The sequence below is a fragment of the Homo sapiens genome, chromosome 15 (genome assembly GCF_000001405.40).
Source record: "Homo sapiens chromosome 15, GRCh38.p14 Primary Assembly".
Classification (NCBI taxonomy): Eukaryota; Metazoa; Chordata; class Mammalia; order Primates; family Hominidae; genus Homo; species Homo sapiens.
In genome coordinates, this window is record NC_000015.10 from 44198069 (window position 1) to 44209759 (window position 11691).

Here is an 11691-nt window from a genome sequence, read left to right on the forward strand (position 1 = left end):
GGAAGCCAAGGCAGGCAGATCGCTTGAGCTCAGGATTTCAAGACCCACCTAGGCAACATGGTGAAACCCCATAGCTACAATAATAATAATAATAATAATACAAAGATTAGCTGGGTGTGGTGGCACACACCTGTAGTCCCAGCTGCTGGGGAGGCTGAGGTGGGAGGATTGCTTGAGCCTAGGGGGAGGGGAAGGTTGCTGTGAGCCAAGATCACACCACTGCACTCCAGCCTGGGCAACAGAGCCAGATCCTGTCTCAAAAAAAAAAAAAAAAAGGAATTAAAAAAAATCACATCTGCTTAGATGCTCACCTCACCGAAAGACCAGTTAGATATTCATTCATGCTTAGGTGTAATATCCAGAGAGAACTTCAAACTCTCCCTTCTTCTCTGATACAAAACACTTTGTGAGGAATACAGAGAATGAAAAAATAATGGAAGAAAAGCAAGAATCTAGATGTATGTCTCCACAAAAAAGCTCATGAGAAGAAGCATAAGGAGAACTAGAAAGGAAGGGCTCATATAAAACCAAACTGAATTTTGGGAGACTGGGCAGAAGAATCAATTGAGCCAGGAGCTATGACTGCATCACTGCACTCCAGCCTGGACAACAGAGCAAGACCTTGTCTCCAAATAAAATAAAAAGTAAAACCAAACAGAAATATTTTGTTTATCTTTGTTTTCCTCAAATCTATTAACTAGGATGCCCAGAATGGAAAGGGCTTATTTAATAAAAGGCCTTATTTGCCCTTGAGAACCAGCGTGCCATAGCTTTCATGTGTCTTTAAGTATAAAGGAGGCCACATTTAAAAATAAGAATCCAAATTATAATGGCTCTGAACCCCCACCTTCCAAATTATCAGAATATCAGCCGTCTTTTGAATTTCTTTTCCTTCTCTACTATGAGGGAGTCCCCAGGGGAGGTACTATCCCCCACGTATGCCTGAAAAAACTAAACAAAGCATTTCGTGTCTCTGCTTCAGATATTCTATACCCTGCTGTTCTGGGACACTGGTCTCTCTCTTTAGCCAATGCAACCTTCACCATTTCTTTAGATTTTGGCAGGAAGGAGTACTGCCCTCTCTTCACCAAGACATGACAAACACAGGCCCTTCCCATCAAAGTTTCCCCCAACACAGCTAAGACCAAGCTATAACTCCTAACAATATTTAGGAAAAAAAGAATAATCTGAAGTGTAACTTGGACGTATGACATAGCTACTTTCAAAGCCTCATGGACTATGGATTAGATACAGGCCTGGCCTTACTGTCAGGCTTCCATTCTGGTTCATGTGGCTGAAGATAGCTTCCCCTCTCCAGCAAGAGTTCCCCTGACTACGTCTTAGGCATTTACTCCCAATCACTGTGAAGAAAACAACTCTCCTTACCTAGGTTAGGGTCCACTTTCCAAGTCCCATTTTCTGTCCCAGGTGCTACCTCTTCCTAGAATGACTAACCATGGAAATATTTACTCTTCTGGAGGAAACCCCACCCTGCATGCCCAAGGGTATGACCTTGACCTCTGATTCAACAGGGCTGTCATATCAGAACACAATAGTCAACATCAGCATGTTTCTCACAAAGGTTGAATTATTCAGTCTTTACACGTGGGTCAAGGTAAAGCCGTGTCAAAGCCAGTCCTGTCCCTTTGCATAATTATTTCTCCAGTAGAGCAGTGAAAATCATGCCTGTCCTTGCTTTCCTATATTCATTAGGTCTCAGCTTCTGCTATCTAAAGAGCAGGGGCTCAAAAGGACATTCACATCTCCACAGAAATAATAATGCATTGACACATATATGCTCTAAATCCACACAGAGGAAAGAAACAGATTTTCTGTTCTTCTCTTCTACATCAATGTCTGCAGAAGCAGTACTTCTGCTCCACACACAAAGATTTGCATATTCAAATGAAGCACTCTGCTTCTCAGTCTAAAGCATTTATATTCGGGTTAATTGTTGCTTTATAGTTTTCTAAGAGTAATACGTGTCTACTTGTTTGAATATGAGTAACTAAACAATTCATGTAGTTTTCCCAGAGTAGTCTTCTCTTGAAGAAATGCTCTAGTTTTCCCATTTATCAGGACAGAAAACCACATACAGTTTAAGAGACAGTTTTTCTACCTAACCTTTAGACTTTTGGTTAGCCCCCATTACACTTAGAAGAGGTGGGTTTTTTTATATGGAAATATAAGCAGTACACACGCTTTTTAAAATTCCAAACTACAAACATTTATTGAGCGTATGTGTTAGGCACTGTGACAATGTTCTAGAATATGTAAGACATAGCCCAGATATGGGAAAAGGAAATAAGTCAAGAAGTGTATAAAGAAAAAAATTCTTCACAATGTAAGAGAGAGTGTTAGATGTATGTAAATTAGCTATAATACAATACATGGAGCATAAGCAAAGTACTACAAGAGCACAACAAATGGTACAATTATGTAGGCTTAATTAGGAGAGACAGTGAAGCCTTACAGAGAAAGCATTTATGTTGGGCCTTGAGGACTACAGTAGGCTCTTGATTGTGAAGAAGGCAGAAAAGATGGATATGGGATGAGGAGTGACATTTAAATAGAGGAAATTGTATAAGCAAAGACACAGAGGTCCAAATAAGCATGAGTATAGCATGCTCTAGAAGCTGCAAGTATCCCTGAATGGATAGCATGTGAGGTGCCTTGGCCAGAAAGAGATGGACTGAAGCCAGGTCATGTAGGACCTTGATTGCCATGGTTAGGAGTTTGAACTCTGTTTCATAGTCAATAGGCTGTCATTGGAGGTTTTTAAATAGAGAAGTGACAAGATCAGATCTGTGTTTAAAAATGATAATTTTGATAGCAGTGTAAAGGATTAAATTAGAGTATGAAGAAATTATTTGCTGGGGGAAAATGGATTCTGAAAACAATAGAATATCTTTAATGAAGCATCAGAAGCATTTATAACAGGTCTCTCAGATTTGGGTGACAGGCTTTATTATATTCTCCAATTACGGCTCATTTTTCTTATATTCCCAGCTAGTTTTCAGCCATTATTCTAGCAACAAACATAAATGAAACAAAGCAAATTAATTCATTTATTCAAAAAAAGTATTGGTGGTCTACTATGTGCAAGTCCCTATGCCATGTGCTGACAGAATTCAAAGATGAATAAAACATATCTCCAATCCTCATAGAACTTACAGTCTTATGCAACTGGAAAAATTACTTCAACATTTATTAAATCATCAGTTTATGTAGATTGACATTCAATACACATTGGTTAAAAAAAGATATAAAGGGGAAAGGCAGGAAATATATGAGAAATAGCCCAAAAAAATGTGAGCAAAGAAAATATATAAAGAAGAAATCAGAATAGCTCATATTTCTTGGCCAGGCACCATGGCTCACACTTGTAATCTCAGCACTTTGGGAGGCTGAGGCCGCTGGACTGCTTGAGACCAGGAGTTCAAGACGAGCCTGGCCAACACGGCAAAACCCCATCTCTACTAAAAATACAAGAATTAGCTAGGCGTGATGGTGCGCACCTGTAGTCCCAGCTACTTGGGAGGCTGAGGCAGGAGAATCACTTGAACCTGGAAGGTGGAGGTTGCAGTGAGCCGAAATCGTGCCACTGCACTCCAGCATAGGTGAGAGAGTGAGACCCCATCTGAAAAAAAAAAAAAAAACAGAAAAAGTGTCAGTTGACCACTTGCTCTGTGAAATAAGATATTTAGTATTCGTATACTTCCTCCTACCTCCGTATTCCAACTCCCAATCTTGTGGTTTCTATTATTTCTATTTTGTCAGGGTTTATAATTTATAGCTTTTGTCAGTCATACAAGGGGACTTCAAAAAATTTATGACAAAAGGGAATTAAAAGATAAACATAAAAATATAAACTTTCTCAATATAAGCTCCATCAAGTTCAAGGCACTTTTGTAAGTGATGATATCAGTCATTTAGTCCATCCCTAAAGAACTGAGCATCTTGGGAATTTAACCATATCAATGCAGTCTTTTACATTAAAATGTGTGCCCTTTAAAGATTTTTTAATATTAGGAAACAAAAAGAAGTTAGAAGGATGGTAAGGTGGATGCCTAGTGATTTCCCATCAAAACTCTCACAAAATTGCCCTTGTCTGATGAGAGGAATGAGCAGCAGGAATATGTCATGGTGGAGGAGGAATCTCTGGTGAAGCTTTCCCAGGCTTTTTTTTTTTTTTCACTAAAGCTTTGACTAACTTTCTCAAAACACTCTCATAACAAGTAGATGTTATGGTTCTTTGGCCCTTCAGAAAATCAACAAGCAAAATGCTTTGAGAATCCCAAAAAAAACTGTTGCCATGACCTTTGCTCTTGACTGGTCCACTTTTGCTTGGACTGAACCGTTTCCACCTCTTGGTAGCCATTGCTTTGATTGTGTTTTTGTCTTCAGCACAATCTGGTAAAGCCATGGTAAACTGGTAGAGCCATGTTTCATTTTCTGATACAATTCTTTGAAGAAATGCTTCAGGATCTTGATCCCACTTATTTAAAATTGCCTTTGAAAGCTCTGCTCTTGTCTTCAGTTGATCTGGATGTAATGGTTTTGGGACCCCTCAAGTGGAGAGTTTGCTCAAGTTTAATTTTTTAGTCAGAATTGTATAAACTGAATAATTTGAGAGGTCTGTGGTGTTGGCTATTGTTTCTGCTGTTAATCATTGGTCCTCCTCAATTAGGGCATGAACAAGATTAATTTTTTTCCTCACAAATTGATGTTGATGGCCTGCCTCTGTGGGCTCCATTGTCAACATCATCGTGTCCCTTCTTAAAATGAGTTATCCATTTGCAAATTGCTGATTTCTTTGGGATATTTTCCCCATAAACTTTTCATAAAGCATCAGTGATTTCACCATTCCTCCACTCAAGCTTCCACCATAAGTTTGATGTTTGTTCTTAGTTCAATTTTAGCACAATTAATGTTGCTCTGATAGGAGCTCTTTTCAAACTTCTGTCTTATCCTTTTTAGTGCTTCAAACTAGATCCTGTTCAACATGTTATAAAAGTTATTATAAGTTTATTTTCTTGCAAGAAAGTTTTGAAATCAACGCATAGTTTTTTGGGGTTTTTGTTGCTGTTGTTGCTATTGTTTGTTGTTTTTTGAGACAGGGTCTTGTTCTGTTGCCCAGGCTAGAGTGCGGTGGTGCAAGCATGGCTCGCTGCAGCCTCAACCTCCTGGGCTCAAGTGATCCTCCCACCTCTGCCTCCCAATTGGCTGGGACTACAGTGCATGTCACCACACTCAGCTAATTTTTTAATTTTTTTTTTTTTAGAGACGGTGGGGGGTCTCGCTTTGTTGATCCAGGCTGGTCTTGAACTCTGGGCCTCAAGCAACCCTCCTACCTCAGCCTCCTGAGTAGCAAGGACTACAGGCTTCTAAAGAATAGAGGCAAGGTGAGTAGCCACACCTTACTGCACCAGAATATTCTGTTTCTTTTATTGTCTCCCCACCTTTTTTGTTGAGACAGAGTCTCACTCCGTCATCCAGGCTGGAGTACAGTGGCAATCTTGGCTTACTGCAACCTCCGCCTCCTGGGCTCAAGCGAGTCTCATGCCTCAGCCTCCCTAGTAGCTGAGATTACAGGCGTGAGCCACCACACTTAGCTACTTTTTGTATTTTTAATAGAGATAGGGTTTCACCATGTTGGCCAGGCTGGTCTCGAACTTATGGCCTCATGTAATCTACCTGCTTAGGCTTCCCAAAGTGTTGGAATTACAAGCGTGAGGCATCCTGGCTTTTTTTTTTTTTTTTTTTTTAACATTTCACTTATATGTAAGGTTTTCCCCTTTACCTTGTTGTAGCTGCTGTTTGAACTTTATCAATGTATTTTTGTTGTTCATTTCATTAGCTATTGGTGCACAGAAAAATCTGTGACTTTATCTAATTCTTCTATCCTTACTCAGAAGTTACTTAGCTGAGCTCAGCTGGGCTTGAAGCAGTTGCAAATCAAAGATATTTTCATAAAGAGGTTCAAACAGAGGAGAAAGGAAGAATAAACATTCCACAATGCACATGCTAATTATTCAGTAAATGTCTGCAGAATTAATTTCAAAGGTTCTCTGGACATAGTTCAATTAATTAAAATTGCAAATCATGATTACACCTTATCATTTCACTTTTTCCATTATAGTAATAAGGGAGCATTCACTATATGCCAGAGACTATGGTGAGTACTTTACATATATTATCTAATTGAATTCTCATAATAGTGTTGTTAGATTGTGCTATTGTTATCATCCGCATTTTATAGATGAGGAACTTTCAGTGCAATGAGACTAAATAACTTGTTGAAAGAACACAGCTATCAAGAGGCAAGACCTGGACTCATATCCAAGTGTCTGGTGCCAAACACTGTGTTTTTAACAACTACATTACACAGCTTTCGTTTTCAGGAATTTAGTGGAAAGAGCGTTGAATGTGGAGTCACAAGTCCTGAATACAAGCCCCAGCTCTAACATTCTATGCCATGTAATCTTGGCAAGTCATTTAAATTCTGTTTCTCATTTGTAAAATGGGGATTAGAATGCCTTCTCTGGTTGTTTTGAGAATCATAAGACTTTTGCTTAAAAATGGCAGGTTAAACACACGTATTTACCTCTGCTGTCACACCGAACCACTGAAGCAACAGTAAAGTGATGTCTAAAAGGCTTTAACCAGGCCAGGTGAGGTGGCTCATGCCTATAATCCTAGTACTATGGAAGGCTGAGGCAGGTGGATCCCTTGAGCTCAGGCGTTTGAGACCAGGTTGGGCAATGTGGCAAAACCACATTTCTACCAAAAATACAAAAATAAGCACCTGATGGTGCACACCTGTAGTCCCAACTACTTGAGGGGCTGAGGCAGGAGGATCCCTTGAGACTGGGAGGTGGAGGTTGCAAAGAAAGATCGTGCCACTGCACTCCAGCCTGGGTGAGAAAGTGAGACCCTGTCTCGAAAAAAAAGGAAGGAAGGGAGGGAGGGAAGGAAGGAAGGAAGGAAGGAAGGAAGGAAGGAAGGAAGGAAGGAAGGAAGGAGAAGGGAAGGGGAGGGGAGGGGAGGGAAGGGAAGGGAAGGGAAGGGAAGGGAAGGAAGGTAGGAAGGGAAGGAAGGGAAGGAAGGAATAAGGCCGGGCGAGGTGTCTTACACCTGTAATCCCAGCACTTTGGGAGGCCGAGGCAGGCGGATCACGAGGTCAGGAGATTGAGACCACCCTGGCCAACACGGTGAAACCCCTTCTCTACTAAAAATACAAAAAATTAGCTGCGCGTGGTGGCGGGCACCTGTAGTCCCAGCTACTCTGGAGGCTGAGGCAGGAGAATGGTGTGAACCCGAGATGTGGAGCTTGCAGTGAGCTGAGATCGCGCCACTGCACTCCAGCCTGGGTGACAGAGCGAGACTCTGTCTAAAAAAAAAAAAAAAAAAAAAAAAGAAGAAATAAATAAAAGGCATAAACCTAAAAGACCAATTTAATGGAAAGAAGCCACAACAACAACATTTTGGAATCCAGAAAGCATATGGATGAGGAATAATTGACTGAGCAAACCCAAGAAAGCTGAATCCAAAACTAGCAGGGCAAAGCTGAGAAGCAACCTGATCTGCACTGTAGAATGCACAAAATATTTAGAAATTGATTTACCCAGTTCTTTTGGAAATGAAGGTAGAACTGAAAACAGGAGGATTGTTAGAAAGTCAATTTAAGAAGCAATTCCCTTCTCTGACTCTGTGCAGCCAAGAGACTTCTTTTCTTCACCCTATCAGAAAAGTGAAGGGTAATTCTCTGGAGAGACTAAAACAGAATTTCTGAACCAGAATGGGGTCGCCAGAAATTTAAGAAATATCTCTAACATAAAATATAGAGACTAAAACAAAAGGAAAACAGGCAACTTGGAGGACAGAAAAACTAAGTAGGAAAAAGAAAAATTTCAAAATGGAAATTATTAGTAAATATCCTAATAGAGATAGAAGATCTTGCATCCAGTAAATAAGTCTGGGATGCCATTTAGAAAAAGAGGGGAAAAAAGCATTCTGAGAATTAAAAATAACATGTGCAAATGTAAAATAAAATAGGATAGGTGAAAAATAAAACTAAATAGAAATAGAAATAGGGGGAGAGTGCCAGATACGGTGGCTCACGTCTGTAATCCCAGCCAGCACTTTGAGAGGCTAAGATGGGAGAATGGCTTGAACTCAGGAATCTGAAACCAGCCTGGGCAACATAGTGAGACCCTGTCTTTACAAAATAAAAATTTTTAAATTAGCCAGGTGTGGTGGGAGGTGCCTGTAGTCCCAACTACTCAGGAGGCTGAGGTGGGAGGATCACTTGAGCACAGGAGGTCAAGGCTGCAGTGAGCTGGGATCATGCCACTGCACTCAAGCATGTGGGTGATAGAGCAAGATCCTGTATTAAAAAAAAAAATGGGAAAAATGGAGGGCAAAAAATTATCAAAGGCATAATTCAAGAAAATTTCCCATAATTAAGGACATGAATTTCCAAATTTAGAGTGGGTACCAACTGTCCAGCACAATGGATAGAAACAAATCCACACCATAACATACTACTATGAAATGTTAGAACACTAGGAACAAAAGTAAGCCTCCAGAAAAGGAAAAAAAAAGTTACAAACAGTATTAGAATTACATTGAACTTCTCAACAGCAACATTGGAATCAAGAAAATAGTAGAACAGCATTTACAGATTCTGAGGAAAATTATTTCCAATATAGAATTCTATACCCAAATACACTACTCTTGAGTAAAAAGACACTTTTAGACATGTATGAACTCAATATCTAATATCTTATACTCATATATACCCTTCTTCAGGAAGCTTTTGAGGGATGGGCTCCCCAAAAATGTCAGAGCAAACAAAGATATAAGAAATAAGAGCCGGGCACTGTGGCTCACGCCTGTAATCCCAGCACTTTGGGAGGCCAAGGCGGGCAGATCACGAGGTCAGGAGATCGAGACCATCCTGGCTAACACTGTGAAACCCCGTCTCTACTAAAAATACAAAAAATTAGCCAGGCGTGGTGGCAGGCGCCTGTAGTCCCAGCTACTCCGGAGGCTGAGGCAGGAGAATGGCGTGAACCCGGGAGGTTGAGCTTGCAGTAAGCCGAGATCGCACCACTGCACTCCAGCCTGGGTGACAGTGAGACTCCGTCTCAAAAAAAAAAAAAAAAATGAAATAAGAATACATGGTAGATTATGTATTATGTCGCCTGTAATCCCAACACTTTGGGAGGAAAAAGTGGGAGGATCACTTGAGCTCGAAAGTTCAAGACCAGCAAGGGCAATATGGCAAAAACCCATCTCTACAAAAAATACAAAAATTATCTGGGTGTGGTGTGGTGCACACCTGTAGTCCCAGCTACTCGGGAGGCTGAAGGGGAAGGATCACTTGAGCTGGGGAGCTCAAGGCTGCAGTGAGCCAAGATCACGCCACTGTACCCTACCCTAGGTGACAGAGCGAGACTCTGTCTCACAAAAATAAAATAAAATAAAAGATTGTGTTATGTCTTCAAATATTCACTGTCGTCTCCATTTCTACCTACCCTACTGGCATTAAACTTGACCACTGATTTGGTTTGAACAATAGAATGTAAGTGAAAACATGTATATTATTGATCTTTTCTTTCCCAAAAGACTGGCATGGCCCAGATGGAGCTTGCTCCTGGGTCCTGGGAAGAAGCCAACACGGAGTAGACGACACAGCCAACCCACAGAGGATGTCTAATGAAAGTGAGAAATAAATCTTTTTTGTTGTAAGCTACTCATATTTTGGAGTCATTCCTGAAAAAAAAAAGTATCAAAAGCTGACTAATACACATGGCATCCTGGAAACAGGATCTAACACAGAAAGAGGTAATGTAAATTCTCAGAATAATTGTGAGGTTTGATCCCAGAATAACAGCTGTGAAGCTAGTCTAGAAAATAATCAAGGTCAGAAGGGAGACAATCAGATGGCTCCCAGGTGTTTCCAAGAAGACGAAATTGATAGACTACCTAATATGCCCGACTATGTAGTAATGAGAAAAAATACACTTCTAGGGGAGAATTTGGTTATAACTTAGTGATAATTATATTAAAACAAAGTAAGAGAAAAATAAAAACGAAGCTTGTATTAACTTTAGGAAAAACAAAAAGTTGTATAAGAAAGGAAAAGTAATCATAGCACGTGTATAAGAATTTATATAATCATAATAATATACTTATTACTAATTTAACTGACATAACTATATTGGGATAATGGATAGAAAAGTATGTGTGATTGGGGTATGCTGGGGGTTGGAGTAGTTGAAAGAAATAATATATCTTTCATAGATAACACCTACATTTTAAAAAATCAAGAAATAGCAGTATATGCTAGGCACAATGACTCATGTCTGTAATCCCAGCACTTTGGGAGGCCAAGGCAGGAAGGAGGATTGCTTGAGCTCAGGAGTTCAAGACCAGCCTGGGCAACATAGGAAGACCTTGTCTCTATTAAAAATAAAAATAAAAAAATTAGCCAGATGTGGTGGTGTGTACCTGCAGTCCCAGGTACCTGGGAGGTTGAGGTAGGAGAATCACCTAAGCCTGGGAGGTCGAGGCAGCAGTGAGCCATGATCATGCCACTACACTCCAGCCTGGGCTACAGAGTGAGACCCTGTCTCAAAAAAAACCAAAAAAACAAAAAAGAGAAATAACAGTAAAAGCATATTATTTAGAAGAATTGAGACAAATGCAAAAGAAATAGCTAAAATAGCTAAAAGTTATTATGGGGGCGGAGGGGGGCGGTAGAGGAGGCAGAAATTGAGGCCTAGGGAATTGATTTTTTTTGTTTTGTCTTGTTTTGTTTTGTTTTAAGGCAGGGTTTCACTCTGTTGCCCAGGCTGGAGTGCAGTGACCCAATCCCAGCTCATTGGAACCTCTACTTCCCAGAATCAAGTGATCTTCCCACCTCAGCCTCCCAAGTAACTGGGATTATAGGCATGAGCCACCATGCCCAGCCCTGATTTTTTCTTTTTTTGTAATAGGCCTTGTAGAGCTATTTGACTCCTAAACTATGTACATGCCTAGTTTTGATTAAAACAAACATTCCAGCACAGAGGCACCTTGAGGCTTAAGAATTTGAAAGATGCAAAAGAAACAATATGATAAATCAATACAACACACATTTATACACCAGGAAAAAAAAGAAGAAGAAAAGAAAAAGGAAAAGAAGAGAGAGTTTGAAAGGACTTAACTCTAAAACACGAGGAACAAGTTAGAAGACTCGGTAGCATGGAAGCAAGAGAACATGGATAAGAGTATGGGCTCTAGGTTCCAATAATCCCAGTTTACGCTCTGCTGTGTACCAGCTGTGTGACCTTGAGAATGCTGCGAAGGCTCAGTTTCCTTATTTGTAAAACAGGTATAATAATAGTCCCTCTCTATGAGAGACTGTGAGAGTAAAATGAGATAAGCCTTTGCACAAAGAAAACATTGGAAAGTTTTAGCTACTATTAATCTCTTGTTCCTTCATTTTCTCTGTGGATTAATAGACATTAAATGGAGGACTAAAAGGGAGTCAGTTTAAGGGAAAATCTAAACCAAAAATCTGAGATGATACACAAACTGGAGAACCAGCATCCGAGTACCTGAAAACTGTGATTGTTATGTTATCGCTTCAGCAGTGTAATTGGTGAGCCAATTGCCTTAGAGTTACAGCTATTCATGCCT

The 11691-nt window shown here is 40.2% G+C and overlaps 1 protein-coding gene across 1 annotated transcript in view; it reads right to left on the reverse strand.

Annotated features, from left to right (window-relative positions):
- FRMD5 (FERM domain containing 5) overlaps positions 1-1405 on the reverse strand; it is a 328710-nt gene extending 327305 nt beyond the window's left edge. The window contains exon 1 of the mRNA XM_047433194.1: positions 1387-1405. The gene's annotated coding sequence lies outside the window, so the exon portion shown is untranslated. The remainder of the gene's footprint in view (positions 1-1386) is intronic.
- Between the last annotated feature and the right edge of the window lie 10286 nt (positions 1406-11691).